Source organism: Homo sapiens, chromosome 14, assembly GCF_000001405.40.
Source record: "Homo sapiens chromosome 14, GRCh38.p14 Primary Assembly".
In the NCBI taxonomy this organism is placed as follows: domain Eukaryota; kingdom Metazoa; phylum Chordata; class Mammalia; order Primates; family Hominidae; genus Homo; species Homo sapiens.
The window spans coordinates 31441098-31463664 of record NC_000014.9 but is presented as its reverse complement, the minus strand read 5'-3'; the positions used below and the strand labels follow the sequence as shown (position 1 = coordinate 31463664).

Here is a 22567-nt window from a genome sequence, read left to right as displayed (position 1 = left end):
CGCATTTTTAGTAGAGATGGGGTTTCACCATGTTGGCCAGCTGGTCTCAAACTCCTGGCCTCAAGTGATCCATCCACCTCAGCCTCCCAAAGTGCTGGGATTACAGGCGTGAGCCACCATGCCTGGCCTCACTTTTACAAATGTAGTTTTATTAGCATTATGTGTTCACCTCAATAGATAATTGTTGTCCCATATTCTTAAGCTAAAATAATTGTTCTTGAATACACAATCCCCTTATGGGCTACAAGAATGTGATGATGAGACATTCTCTCTTTGCGGCGTATACTGTCAGAATGAAGACCATTCTCAGCAATCAGACAGTCAACATTCCAGAAAATGTTGATATCACTCTGAAGAAACACAGTTACTGTGAAGGGCCCCAAAAGAACCCTGCAGAAGGACTTCAATCACACCAATGTAGAACTCAGTCTCCTTGGAAAGAAAAGGAAGAGGCTCCAGGTTGACAACTTGTGGGGAAAGAGAAAGGAACTGGCTACCCTTCACACTATTTGTAGTCATGTACAGAACATGATCAAGGGTGCTACTGTGGGCTTCCATTACAAGATGAAGTCTCTGTAAGCTCACTTCCTCATCAATATCGTATTCTGGGAGAACAGGTCTCTTGTTGAAATCCACAATTTCTTGGGTAAAAAATACATCCGCAGGGTTCGAATGAGGATAAATGTTGTTTGTTCAGTATCTCAAGCCCAGAAAGATGAATTAATCCTTGAAGGAAATGACATTGAGCTTGTTTCAAATTCAGTTGCCTTGATTCAGCAAGCCACAACAGTTAAAATCAAAGACATCAGAAAATTTTTGGATGGCATCTATGTCTCTGAAAAAGGAACTGTTCAGCCGGCTGATGAATAAGATCTAAGAGTTTTCCAGCTTCTGAAACAAGATGCCCAATGAATCCTAAAATCTATTTGTGATTTTTTTTTTTTTTAGACAGTCTTGCCCTGTCATGCAGGCTGGAGTGCAGTGGAACAATCACAGCTCACTGCAGACTCAACTTCCTGGGCTCCAGCAACCCTCCCACCTCAGCCTCCCAAGTAGCTGGGACTACAGGCACGCACCAACATGCCTGGCTAATTTTTTTGTATTTTTTGTAGAGACAGGGTTTTGCTATGTTGCCCAGGCTTGTCTCAAACTCCTGGACTCAAGCAATCCTCCTTCCTCAGCCTTCCAATGTGCTGGGATTGCAGGGGTGAGCCACCGCACCTAGCCTTATTTGTGATATTTAATTATGTAATAAAATACCTATTGATTTGGAACTTTTTCTGAAAAACAAAACAAAACAAAATAAAATAATTATTCTTTACAGCTATCACCCAAAATATAATTGCTTCATAAAATAGCCCCTTGTAATTAGAAAACTGGATATACAGATGAGGGGTATATTTTGCCACTAAATTATCCTGTAGAAGGTAAGTATTGATATTTCTCTCTGTCCATAGAAGCTGGAAGTAGTTGCTGCCCTGGATCTTCTCAGTGTGTCCTTTCAGATCCACTCTCCATCCTTCTATATCCTATTCTGTGTCCCAGGAGGCTTTTTTTATGTACTGAATCAACCCTTACTCTAACTTCCAGCTGGGTGTAGCCAATGAGAGAAATGGCAGACAATCAAAGCTAGGAGGAGAGGGAAAACAGGCTGCAGTTTGGCAGAGGCTGCATTTCTCTATGGAAGGTCACAGGTCCTGTCAAGTGTGACCCACAGTTCTTGCTGGTTCTTGAAGAAAACTATTCCTTCCTCTTACCCCTTCAGAATGGTAACTGCTTCCTGTTGTTGCTAGCCCTGGGTCCTTCACTATCCCCTGATGGTTTTCCTTAACCTTTCACATACCTGGTTAATGATCCCTTCATTCAACCTTCTTTCAACTCTCTTATTCTCGTCACTTACTTTCTTTCTTTCTTTCTTTTTCTCTCCTTCCTTCCTTCCTCTCTCCTTCCTTCCTTCCTCTCTTTCTCTCTCTTTTCTTCTCTTTTTTCTTTTCTTTTTTAGATGGAGTCTTGCTGTGTCACCCAGGCTGAAGCGCAGTGGTTCAATCTCAGCTCACTGCAACCCTCACCTCCTGGGTACAGGCGATTCTCCCACCTCAGCTTCCCCAATAGCTGGGATTATAGGCACAAGCCACCACGCCCGGCTACTTTTTGTATTTTAGTAGAGATGGGGTTTCACCATGTTGGCCAGGCTGGTCTCGAACTCCTGAGCTGAAGTGATCTATCTGCCTCGGCTTCCCAAAGTTCTGGGATTACAGATGTGAGTCACCGTGCCCGACCTTCTTTCTTTTTTCAGTAGAGATGGGGGTCCCACCATCTTGCCCAGGCTGGTGTCAAACTCTTGGGCTGAAATGATTCTCCAGCCTCAGCCTCCCAAAGTGCTGGGATTACAGGCATGAGCCACCACCATGCTCAGCTTCTCTTCACCTTTTGAAAGTGTGCCATCTGTTTTCTGTCAAGACAACTGCTTAGACAATTTTTCCAAGCCAAAATTATATCTGCCACTGTATAGAACTTTAGGAACCTAATTTTTTCATTTATGTGTTATAGTAGACAAAACTACTTTTTCAGAAATCCTTAAATCCACCTTCATATATAACCAGCATAGCTATTCATCCAAATGCACGTCCTAATTTGGCCTTTCCCTTTTCAATATACAGTGTAACCTCCCTGTTTGCTCTTTTGATCTCTAAATCACAGTGTCTTGGTCAATAATATAAAATACCCTACTCCACAAGCCCTTGCCATGGACTAAACCTTGAACGATCCCATGGTTCAACACTTCTCAAAAGCCCAGTTGAGAAAATTGATTAGGATTAAGTGAAGTACACAAAGTTCATGCATTAATCTCTAGTAGAGTAGGACCGTCACATTAGTATATTTAGACCATATTACATCTGAAGGCTTGCTTTTATTGTGGGGTTATATCAAGGGATTCTGATTTTATCAAGGAACAATTAAAGAAATTGCCCTAGAAAATCTGATACTACATTTGCTGTAGGGACATAGTTTAGTATATTTCTCACTGTCTCCTGTGCTTAGTACTTGGGGTCATAGTTAGGTGTCTTCCACAAAAAAATTTTCTCACCCTCTTTGTTCGAGTTCTCATTTACCAAGCAACATCCTGATTTCTGTGTTACTCTCTCTACATAAAAATAATATGCTGGTCATACCGATTTTGAGTATTTCTCATAGTTAATTAATAAAGAGACTTCTGAATATGATCTAGCTTCCTATGCTTCACCACAGGGGGAAACATGCTGACCATGCCCTATGTGAGAATTTCTACTCCATGTCATGGCAATATTTCTTGTTGTAAATGACTAAATTAGTATTCTGGTTCTACCCCAATCTAATGTGCATTTTAGTTAATGTTAACCAATTTCTCAGAACCTGGTTATTATTTTTTTTTTCAAAAAAAAATAAATCTCTGGGCTTTAAACTAGAAAAAAAAATATCTGGGCTTTAAACTAGAGGGCTAGATACTGTCTTCCCTAAGATAAGATACCTACCTCTTCCAGTTGCACTTGTTTTTTTTTGGTTTTTTTTTGTTTTGTTTTGTTTTGGTTTTTTTTTGAGACGGAGTCTCGCTCTGTTGCCCAGGCTGGAGTGCAGTGGCGCAGTCTCGGCTCACTGCAAGTTCTGCCTCCTGGGTTCATGCCATTTTCCTGCCTCAGCCTCCCGAGTAGCTGGTACTACAGGTGCCCGCCACCACGCCTGGCTAATTTTTTGTATTTTTTAGTAGAGACTAAAAATGGTTTCACCGTGTTAGCCAGGATGGTCTCCATCTCCTGACCTCGTGATCCACCCACCTCAGCCTCCCAAAGTGCTGGGATTACAGGCATCAGCCACCTCGCCAGGCCTGCACTTGTATTTATTAACATATCCTATATAAAGTCTCAGGTAAGAGGCTCAGCTGAGAGCTAAATCTGAGGAAAAGCTCTGCTTATCCCTAGAACTATGAAATAGATTATACTGCCCTTCCCTATCCTCTCCTATTTACAACCAGGAAGCTTAGCATCAACTCTAAGGAATCTTTTAGAAATGGTTCTCAAACTTTTCATGTTTGTGAAATACTTTGAATGCCAGAATTTAGGGCAGCCAACTTAAATGAATTAAAGAAGGTAAAATAACACTAAATTAGTTATTGTACCATCTCAGAGGACATAGAACCCATCCACAATTAATCCCCTATCCATATGGTACACTTTCAGCATTGTAGGTGTTTGAGAATTATCTCTGCTCAATGATTTCTCATACAATGACAAGGCAAAGCTCTCTCACATTCCAGTGAACCACCATCTTCTTGTAAAGCCAACTTAATGCTATGCTTTGCCTTTAGTTCCAACTTGAAACAAATTGTACAACCTACAGCACCTCAATACTACATACAATGAACATAATTGTTTTATAACAAAAATTAAAGTTATACATTTGTGAAAATTTTGCTGCATACTATATCATCTCAGCACTCCAGTTGAGAACCACTGTCTTACCTGTTTTCAATTTCCCCCATTGTGGCTTACTGACATAATTCTAGTTTCTTTATTTCTAATGCTTTAATTCACATTTTACTATTTTATTGCATGCATGTCCTTCCTTCTTAAATTATTTGCAGAATGAAACTAAGTGTTCAAAAAATAAAATACAGAAAGGAAATGCTGTCTTTGGTGGCCACTCTCTATAGCCTTCTGCAAATAGAAGTAAAAAATAAGTGAGCCACAGCCTATTACAGTACCTACAGCAATGTCCACGAGATCCTCACTCAATAGGAGGGTTTAAAGTAATTAGTGATTTTTGAGAAGCTAACCATTACCATCCATACTCCATCTATTCTACTCACAGGAAGGGTTTCCCAATTTGTTAAAGAAACCCTCTCTGTAGAAAGATCTCTGCGAACCACATAACCTATTCTCTATAGACCTCCCTATTTCCTGCAGCCACATACAAATGGACACCAAAGTCTTTTCTTATTCTGGGACATAGCTAATGGTTTGTATGTCAAAGTTTCTTTCAGGCCTGTAAAATCTGAATCTGAGAGCCGGAGAGAAAAGAGACTCAGTAGTTATAATGACATAAAGGTGCAGACATGAAGCAATTCAACTTGTCTGTGCTTTGCAGACAAATGTCAACAACTGTTGGAATCCCTGCAATGCAACAATCAGAGATCATGTGAGATTTTGCTTTCTGTTTTTACTAAAAGTGTAAACCTGGCTGCAAGATAACCAGCAAACAAGCAGCTTCGATTTTGTGTACAAAGGACTGTTGATTATGCATGGACTATTTTCTTCAGTCACACTACTTTGTATGGATAGCAACACTGTCAGTGATGTCATCTTTTTAAACAACAGATCCGAATGTATAGGCACATTGTGTCAACTGAGCCCAAATCAATGACCTGGGTAATGCAATCAGGGTAACACTATTATTCCTCATCTAAACCATCCAAGCCCATAGACAAATAAATGCTAATCTGATGCATGTTTAAGGAATACGTTACATGGGAAAGAAAATCAAGCCCTTGTTTAGTTTTATTTACATTCTAATATGTACTTCCAGAAAATGCATCACAGAATTTACGTCATATGCATCAGAATAAGCTGTTTTATTTTTGTATTAGTAGCGGGCTAAGTTATTAACAATCATACTTTCTTGGATAAGAACATTTTTAACAAGGATATCTTCTAAAGAATGTGTATTCGTATAGCATACCAATACCTTTTCACAACTGTGGAATCAGAATAATTTATGGCATTCCCGATAGAGGAGGCAGCATTGTTTTTATTGATTGGAATAAGGAAAATTTTGAAGGATGTATATATAGCTTTTAGTTCCATCTCCGCTTGCTTTATGATTCGATTATTTGTTTACTTACTTTCATATGGGCATAACATGAATTTAAATCAAGCAGATTTAAAATTTTTCAACAGTTGGAACCTAAGCTTTCTGAGGTGAAAAATGTTTCTTAAAAGGTTTGTAGGAAAGAGATTTAACGAGTCTTTTCAATCGTTTAATAAAAGTATACACTGAGCGCCTTCTACAGAGTTGGGCAGGTGCTGCCGAGAAGCTTAGCGCTACGCCGGCCTCCAAGACCGCACATCCGGGACATTCGAGAGTCAGTCCGAGGCCCCGCCCTCCTAAGGGCGGGGCCACTGGGCAATCGGCGCAGGCCCTTCGTCGTGCCCCGCCTCGTCTGCCCCGCCAGCGCGTCGAGGGAGGGGCCAGCGACACATGGCCTAGTAACTGTCCGGCCGCGGCGCTGGCTTAAGCCATGGCTGAGGGTAGCCGGATTCCTCAGGCCCGGGCGCTCCTACAGCAGTGCCTGCACGCCCGGCTGCAAATTCGCCCAGCCGATGGGGACGTCGCGGCCCAGTGGGTGGAGGTAACGTCAGCCCGGCAGCTCTCGTTATCCTCCGGCGTGCGGGGCGGTTTTTTCCGCGTTGTCTCGGTGACTCGTCCGCTCTGTGTCTCCCTCTGAGACCGGCGGTCCGGCCGCGGGGATACCGGGTCAGCTTGAAGCTGGCCGCGGTGGCCTGCCTGGCTGCGCTTGTCTTTTCGGTCCAGCATCACCGTTCCCCAGCGCCAGTTGTAGCACCCGAGAGGAAGAGCGTGTCTCCCTTCTTGGGGGGACCACAGGTATTTGAAACTGAGTTCGGTGAACTTCAGGCCTTACTGTCTCAGACCCCTTGCAGCTCGTGGTCTATGCTGGTCGGGGGCAAGCTTGTAGGTCAGGTTTGCTGCAAGAGTTCATGATCTGCTTTGACTTACGCCTCAGATCGCGTCGAATTCCCCCCTATGTTGACTTGGTCTTAGCATAGAAATGAGATTTCCTAAGAAACAATTCTATTTCAAGAAGCCTTTTAAAAGTTTTGACCAATTTCCAACTGAGAAACAAAGACCTCTACTTTTATAACAATGTTGCCTTATCAAACACATTTCTCCAAAGAATTTAAAACATTTATGTCACTATGAGTTCCTTCTACTTTCATACATACTTTACTTTTTAAGACCGCCTGCCCCCACTGCATACAAAAACAAATAAAATTTTCTTTAAGGCCTCTGACGTATTTTTGGAGTACGTTGAAATGTAAGAAAAAAATTAGTTCATAATTAAGACTTTTGTAGATACTCAGAAACTTCAGTGTAGCAAAATCTCATTCGCTCGCCTTTTCTGCTGAATTCGGTCCCAGATCTAGCATTACTTAAAACAATTTTAGTTATTATTTTACATTTATTTTATTTTTTATATTTTATTTATTTATATTTTATTTTATTTTTTGAGATGAATTCTCGATCTGTCGCCCAGGCTGGAGTGCAGTGGCACGATCTCGGCTCACTGCAACCTCCGCCTCCCGGGTTCAAGCAATTTTCCTTCCTCAGCCTCCCGAGTAGCTGGGACAACAGGCGCAAGCTACCACGCTAACTTGTATTTTTAGCAGAGACGGGGTTTCGCCATTTTGGCCAGGCTTGTCTGGAACTCCTGACCTCAGGTGATCCACCTGCCTCAGCCTCCCAAACTGCTGGGATTACAAGCCTGAGCCACCGCACCCCGCCTACTTATTGTAAATAGTACCCGTGAACTATATGATGTGTGGGTGATTATTCTAAAATCAGAATCTGTTGCCCTGTGCTAATTTGGAAATATAAGCATAGAAATTCCTGTATTCTTATCTCTCTCCTTTCCCAGAAATTCACTTTTCTTATTTCTTATTTTTGTCATGATTTTTTGTGAGGTCTTGATTTCCTTATTTGAAATTTTATTATTTTATTTTGCCATCCTATCTAAAGAATTAACCTGCCAGGCGCGGTAATCCCAGCACTTTGGGAGGCCAAGGCCGGCGGATCACTTGAGGTCAGGAGTTTGAGACCAGCCTGGCCAACATGTTGAAATCCCGTCTCTACTAAAAATACAAAAATTAGCCGGGCTTGGTGGCGGGCACCTGTAATCCCAGCTACTCGGGAGGCTGAGGCAGGAGAATCTCTTGAATCCGGGAGGCAGAGGTTGTAGTGAGCCAAGATCACGCCACTGCACTCCAGCCTGAGCCACAGAGTGAAACCTCATCTCAAAAATAAATAATAAATAAAATAATTATCCTTTTTTTTTTTTTTTTTTTGAGACAGAGTCTCACTCTGTCACCCAGGCTGGAGTGCAATGGCGCAATCTCGGCTCACTGCAACCTCCGCCTCCCGGGTTCACGCCATTCTCCTGCCTCAGCCTCCCAAGCAGCTGGGACCACAGGCGCCCACCACCACGCCTGGCTAATTTGTTGTATTTTTACTAGAGACGGAGTTTCACCGTGCTAGCCAGGATGGTCTCGATCTCCTGACCTTGTGGTCCGCCCACCTCGGCCTCCCAAAGTGCTGGTATTGCAGGCTTGAGCCACCGTGCCCGGCCGAATTATCCATTTTTATAGTTGCATCCAGACACTATAATTGCAAACTATCAGTCATTTAGTTTCCTTCCATGCTTATTTATCTTTTTTATGTTGTTCAGGCTACATCTCCTTATGCAAAATCACATGTATTTTATTGCTGGCATCCAAACTATCAGTTTGTGTTTATAAACTTAAAAACTATTTTAAAGGCTTTCCCTTTCACTCCTACACACATAACTAAATTAGTTTAAAGAGCTGACAAGTAATTTAGATGGTGAGAAAATGTAAATTCTTTCTTCTTACATATTCTCTACCCTGTTCTATTATTAAAAGTTCTTGTTTTTTTAGAAACAGCATTTTAATTGTCAAGATTTGAAGGTTACTTTCTTTGCTTGTTCTTAGTTTCATTCATTTAGAACTTTGCTGTCACAGACTAATGTTTTTGTTCCTGGTAAGTGAACTTTTTAAAGCTACAGTGAGAATTATCTGTATTTTTCTATATATTTGAAATGTTTTATACCAAAGAAGTTATAAGGAAAGTGATTTTTGACTTGAAGTCACAGCTTAACATCTATTATGGAATAAATGAAAGGCAAAGACCTTAATGAGGAGATAATGTTAGTGGAAAGAACAGGTATCGTTCTGCAAATGATTAGGTATTTATTTCTGACATTGCATGTGTCCAAATATAAATATGCTTAAGATTTCGATTCATGATGAAAACAATACTAGTGGAGAGGCCTGTGACAGTAGTGCAAATACCTATAATAACTTGCCAGCTTCTCGTGGGTATGCATTGGAGGCCCTTGCCTATTGTTTCAGTAGCACGATTGTACTTTTTAAAACTCACTTCTTTTCCAGGTAAATCACGTGTGAGTGCAGAGCTGCATTTACATTTATCTAGAAAATTCTTTGGATAACGCATAGAGCCTGGAACATATAGTTGAATGTTAATGCAATCAACAGATAAACTGAATCCCTATCGTGTACAAAACAGCCTGTAAAGTGCTTTGGAAGTTAAAATGTGAAATAAATTGTGCCTCTGCCCTTAAATTTATTTTTACATACTCATTTAATAAACACTAATATAGCACTTACTATGAACCAGGCACTGTGTTTAAGTACTTTACAAATGTTAACTCATTTAATCTTCCTAATAGCTCCTGGAGTCAAGATTAATTTACAGAATCAAAAAAATCTAATGATTCACTCAGAAGCAGAATCAAAGTCACTATTCAAATGTCTCTTTTCTGTATAGTCTCTGTCCTACAAGATCTAAGAAATATCCAAGCCATTATGTAAAATAAATAAGCCTATATTCCTGATAACAACCAACCTTTTAATGTAGAATTTACTATCACAAATGCAGTTTTCAAGTCCTAATCATGTTTATATAAAGCATTAACAACAATAACAACAACAACAACAAATAATTGGACAGTTTCCTGGAGCTTATAGAAATAGAATCAGACCCTTATTTTCATTATTTGTAAGTAAATGGATTAGGGGAAATAAAGAGAGATGATGTCAAAAGATATCAGTCACATGTTGTTTATCCATCAGCTGTATCTGGTATAATGTGAATTCACTTGGCATTGAATAAATGGGGCCCAGCAAACGAAATGTTTCTAAGTCTGTCACCCTTACTTGAGAAAAGGCTGGTTGATCCTCTTAATGATTTTGATTAGAAATAAATGTTTGAAGGTATAACTTGTCTTCACTGCTCTTGGGTATATTTTAAACTTAAATTTGAAAGAAATAACTGAGATGATTGAAAATTGAAAAATATTTTGTTTTCTCACATGAGAAATCTTTTGTAAAGTTCATTTTCTGTGCTTTTAACCTCTATGTCTATAATATTAATAGTTGTGAAACTGTACCCATTTAGCCCTGTATCTTTACAGATATTGTTGTAATCTGAGTTTACTGTGGTGATTTCTCATAGGTCCAAAGAGGACTGGTGATCTACGTGTGCTTTTTCAAGGGAGCTGATAAAGAACTTCTTCCCAAAATGGGTATGTGTTTGACTTTGTTTCTTTTTTAAGAGTGAGAGGCCAAGCATGGTGCTCACACCTGTAATCCCAACACGTTGGGAGGCCAAGGCAAGTGGATTACTTGAACCCAGGAGTTAGAAGCCAGCCTGGGCAACATAGTAAGACCTCTTCTCTACAAAAAATAAACAAAAGTAGCTGGGTACGGTGACCTGTGCCTATGGTCCTAGCTACTTAGGAGGCTGAGGCTGGAAGATTACTTGAGGCCAGGAGGTCGAGGCTGCAGTGAGCCGAGATGGTGCCACTGCACTCCAGCCTGGGCAACAGAGTGAGACCCTGTCTCAAAAAAAAAAAAAAAAAGAGAGTGAGAAAGAATAGTAATAGACAAATGAACCCGAAGGGACAAAAAGCACAATCTCTTTCCTCCCCTTTTATTTTTAAAATAATAAATAATAATTTTACATATTCATGGGATACATAGTGATATTTTAATACTGTATACAATGTATAACAATCAAACCAGATATGCATTATCTCAAAAATTTATTATTTGTGTTGTGAACATTTAAAATCCTTTCTTCTAGACTTTTGACAGTATACAATAAATTATAGTTAGCCATATTCATCCTACAGTGCTCCAGAACACCAGAACTCATTCCTCCTATCTAGCTATAATTTTGTATCCATTAACCAATCCCTGCCCATCCTAAGAAGCACAATGTTAAATTGTGCTGTTAAATTATTAATTACTTAATTCTATCTAGTGTTATTGGCCTTAGCTATTTGCCTGTTTCAAAGTTTAAAGTAAGCAAGTATGGTGGAATTTTTTTAAAACATCTGCAGCATTTCAGTGACTTACAGATTGATGTAGAAGAGTGTACACACATACACATACACACAGTGCACTTCAGCCAAGGATACAGAAACTTCTTGGAAGTAGGGTGGTCACACAGGGAGAAACAGATGCTGCATTTCTTAATATAGTTTCCTTTATCCCCTAGAGCCCCTAACAGAGGCAGTAGATGACACTGTATATACAAGATGTGGGTCTCATCAAACCTGGACAACTCAAGTTTATATCATTATTATGGAAGAATTTGCATTAGCCATGTGTGCACTTCCTTGTGGAAATAAGAATAGATGTAAGGTTCTCCTGGGTCTTGAGCTGAATTCAGTGTCATCACAGCCACACCTCCTCCAAGGACATGGAAAACAGAGTCAATGTTAGGGATCTCTGAATAGTAATTTACCTACCTGCAGCTTTCTGGTTTCCTGGACGGGCTATAGCACTGTATAGTGATATGTATATATACACTATCTCACATAGCTATAGCAATTCATGTGATAATTACATAGGTTCAGATATACCAAATCAAATCATACCCTCTCAGGACAGTATTTGGATATAAAGATTATATCCACAAACAAACATACATACAAACTTGAAAGAAAAGCTATCCTTAAGGTTGGGAACAGGTTGTATTCTCCTCATTAGTAAAGGACAGCATCCATTAATAAGTTGGATTAATAAGAAATATTAATTATACAAATGGGCAGTTGAAGCTTACAGAAAACCTAGAAGAGCTTCAAGGGCAAATAGGCCAATGAGGAAGAGCTTAGACAAAAAGCTAAAACTCCTAGAGGGAATTTTATACTGACATATCAAACATGTCTGACAACTTTGTCAAAAGATGAAAACCAGACTTAAGAGACTATGCTAGGTGAGAATGGAAAGCCAGTAACTGCAATAGTTTGAAATTTGAATCCAGAAGATAATAAGGAACCTCTGATGGGTTAAGAGCATAATGTTCTGGTCTGAAGAAGAAAGAAAAAAAAAGAGAGAGAGAGAGAGGCCAGGCGCGGTGGCTCACGCCTGTAATCCCAGCACTTTGAGAGGCCTAGGTGGGCAGATCACGAGGTCAGGAGATCAAGACCATCCTGGCTAACATGGTGAAACCCCGTCTCTACTAAAAATACAAAAAAATTAGCCGGGTGTGGTGGTGGGCGCCTGTAGTCCCAGCTACTCGGGAGGCTGAGGCAGGAGAATGGCATGAGCCCAGGAGGTGGAGTTTGCAGTGAGCCGAGATCACGCCACTGCACTCCAGCCTGGGCGACAGAGGGAGACTCCATCTCAAAAAAAAAAAAAAAAAAGAACATAATGTAATGAGGACTCCTATTACAGAGAATAATTGTCAGATCCTAATGCTGGAGTGTTACACATTCTGTCCACTTTCCTAAATTAATATTTTGCCTTGGATTAAATCTTTTTTGGTCCATAAAAAATGTAGAAATCTTCAAAAACAGGAAGAAAGTATTTGTCATTCTGACTTAAGATTGACTTCATAAAGTTGTCTTATGAATTCTCAAATGGTTCTTCATCATAATAGGATGAAATATGCCTATCATATCCAAACCACATGTTATTTTATAGTGATTAAATCCTGTGTGCTTCCATATCTGTCTTTGTGAGTTCACTTTAAATACATGCATAAGATTGTAGTGAATTTAAAACACTGAGGAGGTCCACCCTGACTCTTGTGGATGGTCTGACACTATCTAACACATGATTTTTTATATCATGATTTTCAGTAAAGAAATATATGACTCTAAGAATCATATTCTACTCGTTTGAGTTGTAAGCAAAGTAAGTCCATCTATTATTAATAGTATTAGCTTGTACTTCCCTCTATTCCAGCAGGCTAAGTAAGTCAATGTGGTGGGATTCTCTTAAGCCTCACCTCATATTTATTACATAGATTCAGATATTTCCAATCAAAGCATATATCACTTGAGAATATAATAACCAGTTAAATCTGCAAAATCTGAAATAGCATGGTTAACATAGAGATGTGTAGAATCTTCCTCAATTCACCTTCAGTATAATTGGACAGAGAGGGCAAGAAACCTGTCAAAGCTTAACATCTCCTATACATCATTAGAGATACTTGATTGATAACCTGTTTTAGGATATTTGAGTTTCCAGCATGCCATTAATTCATTGTCTCGTTTTAATTCTACTTACTGTTTCTACATTGTATTTATCTACATACTGATATTTGTATGCCAACAGCATTAACTGAAATCTCAATTATAGCCAGTAGAGGGAGGTATGTGGAAACATAATAAATTGTAGCATTACCTCTCAGGCCTGTTATTCCAAAATTGCCTATTTACTCTGTCACTAGCTGGAGGCCTAGATAGCTAGATAGTGATTTCGAGTGGAATGAAGTGCCCTGGAAAGTTTCCTTACAAGCAGTCAATAAAGACTGCTGGCTAAACAGCAAAGTCCTATTTGTAATAGAGAAAACTAGAGGTATTTAAAAATAAATGTTAGTTAAGTGAAAATTGATGATGCTTAATGCCTAGCTTAGGAATTCATTTGGGTGTTCGCCTTGGCAGGTTTTTACCAGATTAATTCCATGATTTGTAGAGAGGGGTAACCATATGAATACTTACTACAGACCCTCTAATAATTAAAACCGTTAGCTACCCCAACAGAAAGCATGCCTTTTAATGCCTAATTTGAGGGCAGGTGTCTTGAAGTTTATGTAGTTCCTTCTACCATTTGCCCTCTCAGGACTATTCTTTGCAAACAGAAGTCATGTATACCTTTATAGAGGTAGGGAGACCCTAGGTCTATTTATATTAGACACTTCTTTTGCTTATTGTTTCAAAAATGGTTAATGTTGAGGTATAAAGGCTTTCTAAGTTTAGGCTTTTAGCTATATATGGATATTTATGGTGGTTTCGACACTTCTTATTAGCTATAGGAAATCTCACGAATGCTACAAAAATAATATCACGTTTTCGTATATGTGTATGAAGATAATGCCATAGCTTTATATCTTTTTATTTACTTTTTCAGTTGTAACAATGAATTTCTGATGATTCTTGCTTTCACCTTTACCCTTCTCTCATGAGTAATATTTATACAATGATTAGTCCATGTTCATATTGCCTTTAAGGTTATTAAACAACAAAATTAGCTGGTTTATATTGGGATTGAAACAGGAACCTTTGTCTCTGCTTAAAACTCTTGGCAACTAAGTTTAAAATAATAACTGCGCTAAAATTGTTATTTGATATTCCATTATAAAGAAGAATTTAGCTGGGCGTGGTGGCTCACGCCTGTAATCCCAACGCTTTGGGAGGCCAAGGCGAGTGGATCACGAGGTCAGGAGATCGAGACCACCCTGGCTAGCATGGTGAAACCCCATCTCTACTAAAAATACAAAAAATTAGCCGGGTGTGGTGGCACGCACCTGTAGTCCCAGCTACTTGGGAGGCTGAGGCAGGAGAATCGCTTGAACCCAGGAGGCAGAGGTTGCAGTGAGCAGAGATCACGCCATTGCACTCCAGCCTGGGCGACAGAGTGAGACTCTGTCTCTAAATAAATACATAAATAAATAAAGCAAGCAAGCAAGCAAGCAGAATTTGGTGTGAGGAGGAGTTATCCTCATATTTTTCCAGTGGGATTTACTTACTAAATAAAAAGAACAGGAAGGTAAAATCTTCTCATGTATTCCCCCAGGGGAACAATATTTGAGGTTCCAGTGTACAGTTAATTCTTTAGACCTTTCTGGATGAACTTATTGTTAGGTTATCTTAACTGCCAATTCAGATTTAAAATATCATGCCATTTTCTGCATGAAAATTGCCTTATTTTTCATGCTTAGATTATTTAGCTTAGTGAAGCAGTATTTTAAATCTAAATAGAGACTTTGGGTTAGAGGCATGAGCTGACAAACTGAATTTTAAACATGAGATTTGCTGACTAAAAACTTGATGGTTTTCTTCATGTTTGTTTTTCACTTTAAAATGTTTTGCCTTTCTTCCTCACCCAGTTAATACACTGTTAAATGTGAAATTAAGTGAGACAGAAAATGGCAAGCATGTCTCTATATTGGATCTACCTGGCAACATTCTTATTATCCCTCAAGCTACCCTTGGAGGAAGACTAAAAGGAAGAAACATGCAATATCACTCTAACTCTGGAAAAGAAGAAGGGTTTGAACTTTACTCTCAATTTGTGACTCTATGTGAAAAAGAAGTAGCTGCTAATAGCAAGTGTGCTGAAGCTAGGGTTGTAGTGGAACATGGCACTTATGGGAACAGGCAGGTGTTAAAGCTGGACACCAACGGACCATTCACACACTTAATTGAGTTTTGAAAATGAAAAACTAGTTTCTATAGCTGTTTTCTGGTATGAAATGATCTAAAGTATAATTAGATTTTCTTCCCCTTAATCTTGAATATACTAATCTTCAGCATTTTTAGACAGGAAAATCTTGGGTTTCATATATAACTCTGCACCTGCTAATTGGATGACTTTGCCAAGTCACCTAAACTCTGGATCTCAGTCACCTTTTGTCCTACATTCCTCTACCCTTCTACTTGAAAATTTGAAATATGCTGTCTATTCACTTCATAGTCATTAAGGAAATGTTCTTAATTGTTTTTTTGTTTTTGTTTTTTTTTTGAGATGGAGTCTTGCTCTGTCGCCAGACTGGAGTGCAGTGGCGCAATCTCGGCTCACTGCAACCTCCACCTCCTGGATTCAAGCGATTCTCCTGCCTCAGCCTCCCAAGTAGCTGGGATTACAGGCGCATGCCACCATGCCCAGCTAATTTTTTTGTATTTTTAGTAGAGATGGGGTTTCACCGTGCTGGCCAGGATGGTCTCGATCTCCTGACCTCGTGATCCGCCCACCTCGGCCTCCCAAAGTGCTGGGACTACAGGCATGAGCCACCGTGCCCGGCCTCTTAGTTGTTTTTTAAAAATTATGTACATTTTAAGTATTTTGCAATGAAGAAATTCATGCAAACAAGAAAAACACATTTCTTATACCATCAAATTTGTGTAGCATGTAATAAAAATAACTATTTGTATTAAAATTAGGTAAACTTCAGCACAACCCAATTATAACTTTGTTAATTTTGTTTACTATTTCAGTTTTCTGTATTTCCATATGTAAGTCACCATTTCTTTTAATAATATGCATGAAAATGTAATATAGGGCCAAATGTGGTGGCTCATGCCTATAATCCCAGCACTTTGGGAGGCCGAGGTGGGAGGATCACTTGAGCCCAGGAGTTTGCGACCAGCCTGGGCAGAATAGCAAGACCCAGTCTCTAACATATACATATACATATAGATATATATGTAATATAGAAGGGTTATTGTGTGTTATATTACTTTCCAGGGACATTCAAATGTTTTACATTACTTTAAGAATCTTTACTTGATATAAGAACAAAGTATAAGGGTTTAAAAGTTGTTTTTATTAAACATACTATATAAATGGGTTAATGGTCTATTTTTCAGTTTTTACCAAAATCATGTGTCTCACTTTTTGTCTTCGCTTTTTAAAGAACTGGTTCATGAAATTAGTGTTAGTTCATAAATTGTTTAAGAAGTTCCTTTTCCATTGAATTAGATTGCTGTAAAAGGGAGAAAAAGGGAAGCTTCCCATAAGAATAGTTTGAAAACAAATTGACTTGTTCATTTCCATATTATCTGCTTGATGATATGGAGCCAGTGTCAATTTTTCTGTTAGTGAATGTTTTGGACTAGATGTTCCCGTCCCCAAAATTTATATGTTGAAGCCCTTATTAATGTGATGGTATCTGGAGATGGGGCTCCTCCAACCATCCCATCCTGGAACATATAAGCCAGAAAGAAAGTAGTCTCCAGAAACAGACCATGCTGACACCTTGAGTTTGAACTTCTAATCACCAGAACTGTGAGGAAATAAATTTCTGGTGTTTAAACCACCCAGTCCTATGGTATTTTGTTAGGGCAGTCTGAGCTACGACAGTGATATAAGATAGACAGCTAGTAAGGTAAACTTTTCAAAGGCAAGAGAGGAAGATATACAAGAAATTGAAAGAATAATTAAGTCAGTAAGAGGTAATATTCAGTTTTGGCAAACTCCTCTGACTTGAGTTGAAAATACTTTTTTTTTTTAAGAGTAAAAACCAAATAACTAATTCTAATTGGCAAAAAAAGGTAAATAAATAAACATCCTAAGTAGCTGCTGAAATTTCCGTTGTGTCTTATAGTTTCTTTAGGTCTGTGTTCCTAAGATGCTTAAAATTTTTATCATGAAAAATCCTATTTTCTCTATACCCTTCCTGTACTGTTCTATTTTGGAACCAGAGAATCAATAACTGGCTTGGTAATGAGCTCATTGTCCTTAACTTTTGCTTTATTGATTCACAATACACTTACTGAAATGTAATAAACTATTCATAAACTTGCAAACTCCAGTTGTCTCAAAGTTTCTCCAAAGAGGTATGTACATATTTCAAAAAGATAATGTTACCTATTTTAAACCATTTTGATTTTATGTCTAGGTGAAATGCTGACTCATAGCCCTTGATTGCTGTTTTAGAGTTTAGGCAATCCTCTTTAAAAAATGTGCTTGAGGTACCTGGGGAGAATAACAATTTCAAGTACATGAAGGGTTATTAAGCAGAAGGTGATAGGCATCTTTGCTTAATTTCCAGAGAGGCTACAACAAGGGAAAAGGCAAATGAAGTCGTGGATATGAAAATAACTATACCTTGGCTTTCTGTAGCTCTTCTGGCCCAAGGTGCTCAAAGAATCTTCAACAGATATTTTATCTTCACAGTATATGTATGATGAGGATAGCGCTGTGGAAAGTAAGACAATGCTTAAGGAATTTCCCCAAGGTCACACAAGAGGGAGGACTAATTTCTATTTTCTTGACTTTCTTGTAGTGACAGTTGTTAAAAATTGAAATTGGCCTGGGCGCGGTGGCTCACGCCTGTAATCCCAGCACTTCGGGAGGCCGAGGCGGGTGGATCACGAGGTCAGGAGATCGAGACCATCCTGGCTAACATGGTGAAACCCCATCTCTACTAAAAATACAAAAAATTAGCCAGGTGTGGTGGCGGGCGCCTGTAGTCCCAGCTACCTGGGAGACTGAGGCAGGAGAATCACTTGAACCCAGGAGGCAGAGGTTGCAGTGAGCTGAGATCGCGCCACTGCACTCCAGCCTGGGCGAGAGAGCAAGACTCCGTCTCAAAAAAAAAAAAAATTTTGAAATTGATCTTGATAAAGACCTAGCATCTCTCAATGTGGATCACTTGAGAAAGAATAGCCAATAAATTGGTTTATTTTCTAAATTAGGAGCAGACAGGATTGCACCTAATTTAGGTGCTTTCTGCCTCTGTTTTCCTAAGATTAAAGCATGTTTCAAATAGAATATCTAAATACAGGTACTATTTTATCTGCCAATTTAGAAACCTCTGGATTCAATTATAGAAAATACTATATTTTCCATTGTGTATAAGACACAATGGATATGGTTGTAATAGCTTGAGTACTTTCATATAAAGTAAAATCAAACATACTTTTACCATTCTTTCATGAGTTCAAGTCATAAAAGAAGGTATACCATTTATTTCTGAATAGTATCTGTACTAGTGATGATTTCTTGACTCCATAATGAAAGAACTAAATTTATCAGATATCAATATCAATACTATAAAATCCTTCATGCCACTTGTTTTAGAAAAGAACTCACATTGATGTTATAATAGAACAATGTCATGTCAGATTTTTACTATCTGTGATTAACATTGCAGAGGACCTAATTTGTTATATTATAGTTAAATGTATAGCAAAAAAAAAAGATAATGAAATTCCAATGTCCTTAGAAGGGTCTTGCCTATTAATTTATTGAAATAAGACTAGTTTCTTAAAGGGAAGAACTACTAGAAAAGTAACATTTTCGTTTTGAAGTCATCCCTTGGTGATGACTTTAAACAGTTATTTTGATAGTTTCATAACTATTCTCCCTACCTCCTGTTTCTCCTATCCCCATTCCTTTTCTGCAGACCATCTCCAAGGTTATATTCCCAGAACATGTCTTTCTCTATGATATTCTACTTCTTAGAAACTTCTATAACTCCTCTTTATCGACAGGACAAAGTCTAATCTTCTGAGGTTGGCATCAGCATTCTCTATACGCCTTAGGAGTGAATGAAATCACTCAAGGAGATCTGTAGAGGACTAAAATCAGAATCTTAAGAAATAACATGTAAAGAAACGGCAAAGTATGAGAGGCCAGAGGAGACGATAGAGATTTCAGAGAGTCAGAGAACCAGAAAAGCGCATTGGTTTTTTTTGTTTGTTTGTAATTTTTTTATTACACTTTAAGTTCTAGGGTACATGTGCACAAGATGCAGGTTTGTTACATATGTATACATGTGCCATATTGGTGTGCTGCACCCATTAACTCGTCATTTACATTAGGTATATCTCCTAATGCTATCCCTCACCCCTCCCCCGACCCCACGACAGCCCCTGGTGTGTGATGTTCCCCACCCTGTGTCCAAGTGTTCTCATTGTTCAGTTCCCACCTATGAGTGAGAACATGCGGTGTTTGGTTTTCTGTCCTTGCAATAGTTTGCTGAGAATGATGGTTTCCAGCTTCATCCATGTCCCTACAAAGGACACGAACTCATCCTTTTTTATGGCTGCATAGTATTCCATGGTGTATATGTGCCACATTTTCTTAATCCAGTCTATCATTGTTGGACATTTGGGTTGGTTCCAAGTCTTTGCTATTGTGAATAGTGCTGCAATAAACATACGTGTGCATGTGTCTTTATAGCAACATGATTTATAATCCTTTGGGTATATACCCAGTAATGGGATGGCTGGGTCAAATGGTATTTCTAGTTCTAGATCCTTGAGGAATTGCCACACTGTCTTCCACAATGGTTGAACTAGTTTACAGTCCCACCAACAGTGTAAAAGTGTTCCTATTTCTCCACATCCTCTCCAGCACCTGTTGTTTCCTGACTTTTTAATGATTGCCATTCTAACTGGTGTGAGATGGTATCTCATTGTGGTTTTGATTTGCATTTCTCTGATGGCCAGTGATGATGAGCATTTTTTCATGTGTCTGTTGGCTGCATAAATGTCTTCTTTTGAGAAATGTCTGTTCATATCCTACTTTTTTCACCTACTTTTTGATGGGGTTGTTTGATTTTTTCTTGTAAATTTGTTTAAGTTCTTTGTAGATCGTGGATATTACCCCGAAAAGCGCATTGTTAAACAAATTCACTCAAGATGTAAACAGTGACAAAGTCAGTGCCAAATAACAAAGAAAAATTGGATGCAATTGAATATTTTCACAGCATATGGGGAATTGGCATATTTGCAATAGTTAATAGTAGAGTTTCTTAATCATTTGTCCTATGGTGGAGTGTCTCAAAGTGTGTCTTTGTACTGGAATCACCTGTTAAGATGCAGTTTTCTGGGACCATCCCAAACATACTAAATTAGAATCTCAGGAGTTAAAATCTGTCTAGTCACCAGTCTCTCCCCAAGATGATTCTTGTGTACACTGGAATCCCAGAACCACTGTTAACCAGAATGAAGCCCAGGCTTCTAAGGCTGGTATCACGGTTTATAATCTGGCTCCAGCTCAACTGTCTCACCTTTTCTCCCGCTACTCCCAGTATACCTCTATTTGTATTTTTCCAGTATAGCCCTATTTATATTTTTCTTAGATCATGGCCTTACCTAACTTGCCCTTTTCTGTACTCTAAATCCATCATTACTCAGTCTCTTCTGACCCCATAGTAATTTCTTCTGCCTCTACCACCTTTGGCGTTATGATTGTGCCACTCCTGATGCTTGTGATGTATTTTATAAGATTAAGTACTTTGGCTTTAATTTTTTATATTAATATGTCGACTGCAAGAGAATAAGTAATATTGGGCAGAGACAGTATAATGGTAGGAAGACATAGTATAGTGTGTTAGTGTACATAGTACAGTGTGTTTACACTGTATTATATCTGCCTACCATTATACTGTCTAAGCCCTGTCTCTACTAAAAATACAAAAATTAGCCGGGCTTGGTGGCAGGTGTCTATAATCCCAGCTACTCGGGAGGCTGAGGCAGGACAGTCACTTGAACCTGGGAGGCAGAGGTTGCAGTGAGCCGAGATGGCACTACCGCACTCCAGCCTGGGCGACAGAGCAATACTCTGTCTCAAAATAAGAAAAAAAAACAAACAAACAAACCTATATTTGAGTCTTTTCATAAAGCAAACTTTCTATGATGCAAAAATATCTTTATTTTGTTTACAAATATGAATTTTGATGAAACAAGATTTATTAAAACCCTTCTATATTTAATCACAAAATAAAGCAGTTATGTGGGATACATCACAAATAGCCAACTTTAAGATAAATATGACCCTACTTCTTTTTACTGGACTTTTCCATGTGAATGAATTCTTCACACTGGGTTAGTCAGCATTTTTCTCTTAAGAAGCTTAATAAAATTTGACCTATTACATCAGCCTTTTATCTGAATGTGAAAAGAAGAATTTATGTGGAGAATGCACCACACCCTGTATAACAGTATCTGAGAACCATTAGCTATTATTGCCATAAACATTTGAGGTTGGGAAAGTAATTGTGGGCTTTTTTTTTGTTTTAAGGGAAGGTATGGAGTTTTTTTAGAAAATGTCTGATCATACTAGCGAAAATGTAACCCTTGGCTCCAACTTTGAGAGACTGTTTACTTCAACCTTGTACTAATGTAGATAGGCTAAGGCACACTTTCTATTCCTGGCATTCTTCTGATTTCCTTAGCAGCCCCAAGGTATGTCTATGAGCAAACATGACCATCTTTTAAGTTTAGTTTGCTCAATGCCTGCATTATTTTTTCTTCTGATTACATTCTGAAAGTCCTCGGGGCTTTTATTTCTTTTTTTTTTTTTTCTTTTGAGACACATTTCACTGTCGCCCAGGCTGGAGTGATCTTGGTGCGATCTTGGCGCGATCTTGGCTTACTGCAACCTCTGCCTCTGGGCTTCAAGCGATTCTCCTGCCTAAGCCTCCCAAGTAGCTGGGATTACAGGTGACTACCACCATGCCTGGCTAATTTGGTTTTTTTTGCTTTTTGTTTTTTTGAGACAGAGTCTTGCTCTGTTGCCTAGGCTGGAGTGCAATGGTGTGATCTTGGCTCACTGCAACCTCCGCCTCCCACGTTCAAGTGATTCTCCTGCCTTAGCCTCCTGAGTAGCTGGGATTGCAGGCACTGGCCACCACGCCTGGCTAATTTTTTATTTTTTTAGTAGAGATGGGGTTTCACCATTTTGGACAGGCTGGTCTCAAACTCCTGACCTCGTGATCTGCCCACCTTGGCCTC

At 39.0% G+C, this 22567-nt stretch overlaps 1 protein-coding gene, 1 long non-coding RNA gene and 1 pseudogene across 2 annotated transcripts in view, besides 4 other annotated features; 2 read left to right on the top strand and 1 right to left on the bottom strand.

Annotated features, from left to right (window-relative positions):
* Window positions 261–1286, top strand: RPL9P4 (ribosomal protein L9 pseudogene 4; annotated as a pseudogene).
* Window positions 5969–6554: an enhancer, noted in NCBI's record as "NANOG-H3K27ac-H3K4me1 hESC enhancer chr14:31926317-31926902 (GRCh37/hg19 assembly coordinates)". NCBI's record gives its function as "activates a minimal SCP1, AML or CMV promoter by ChIP-STARR-seq in primed H9 embryonic stem cells {active_cell/tissue: H9 hESC(primed)}" and the evidence as "EXISTENCE:reporter gene assay evidence [ECO:0000049][PMID:30033119]".
* Window positions 5995–6174: an enhancer, noted in NCBI's record as "active region_8235". NCBI's record gives its function as "activates an Ori minimal core promoter by ATAC-STARR-seq in GM12878 lymphoblastoid cells {active_cell/tissue: GM12878}" and the evidence as "EXISTENCE:reporter gene assay evidence [ECO:0000049][PMID:35858748]".
* Window positions 6159–17629, top strand: DTD2 (D-aminoacyl-tRNA deacylase 2). Its single transcript, NM_080664.3, has 3 exons — window positions 6159–6382; window positions 10321–10390; window positions 15211–17629. Exons 1-3 carry the CDS (start codon window positions 6272–6274, stop codon window positions 15534–15536), a joined length of 507 nt encoding a protein of 168 aa, NP_542395.1. The 5' UTR covers window positions 6159–6271; the 3' UTR covers window positions 15537–17629.
* Window positions 6315–6524: an enhancer, noted in NCBI's record as "active region_8234". NCBI's record gives its function as "activates an Ori minimal core promoter by ATAC-STARR-seq in GM12878 lymphoblastoid cells {active_cell/tissue: GM12878}" and the evidence as "EXISTENCE:reporter gene assay evidence [ECO:0000049][PMID:35858748]".
* Window positions 6555–7140: an enhancer, noted in NCBI's record as "NANOG-H3K27ac-H3K4me1 hESC enhancer chr14:31925731-31926316 (GRCh37/hg19 assembly coordinates)". NCBI's record gives its function as "activates a minimal SCP1, AML or CMV promoter by ChIP-STARR-seq in primed H9 embryonic stem cells {active_cell/tissue: H9 hESC(primed)}" and the evidence as "EXISTENCE:reporter gene assay evidence [ECO:0000049][PMID:30033119]".
* Window positions 10782–22567, bottom strand: part of HEATR5A-DT (HEATR5A divergent transcript) — a 32126-nt gene continuing 20340 nt past the window's right edge. The window contains exons 3-4 of the long non-coding RNA NR_110045.1: window positions 17931–18021; window positions 10782–11558 (exon numbers count right to left, since the gene is read on the bottom strand). This is a non-coding gene — a long non-coding RNA (HEATR5A divergent transcript). The remainder of the gene's footprint in view (window positions 11559–17930; window positions 18022–22567) is intronic.

What these genes read in the sequence shown, in the direction of transcription:
- DTD2 (NM_080664.3), top strand. Translation starts at nt 6,272, where the DNA reads ATGGCTGAGGGTAGCCGGATTCCTCAGGCCCGGGCGCTCCTACAGCAG. An exon ending in TCGCGGCCCAGTGGGTGGAG is followed by an intron (nt 6,383 to 10,320) that starts GTAACGTCAGCC and finishes GATTTCTCATAG; the next exon opens with GTCCAAAGAGGACTGGTGAT. An exon ending in AGAACTTCTTCCCAAAATGG is followed by an intron (nt 10,391 to 15,210) that starts GTATGTGTTTGA and finishes TTCCTCACCCAG; the next exon opens with TTAATACACTGTTAAATGTG.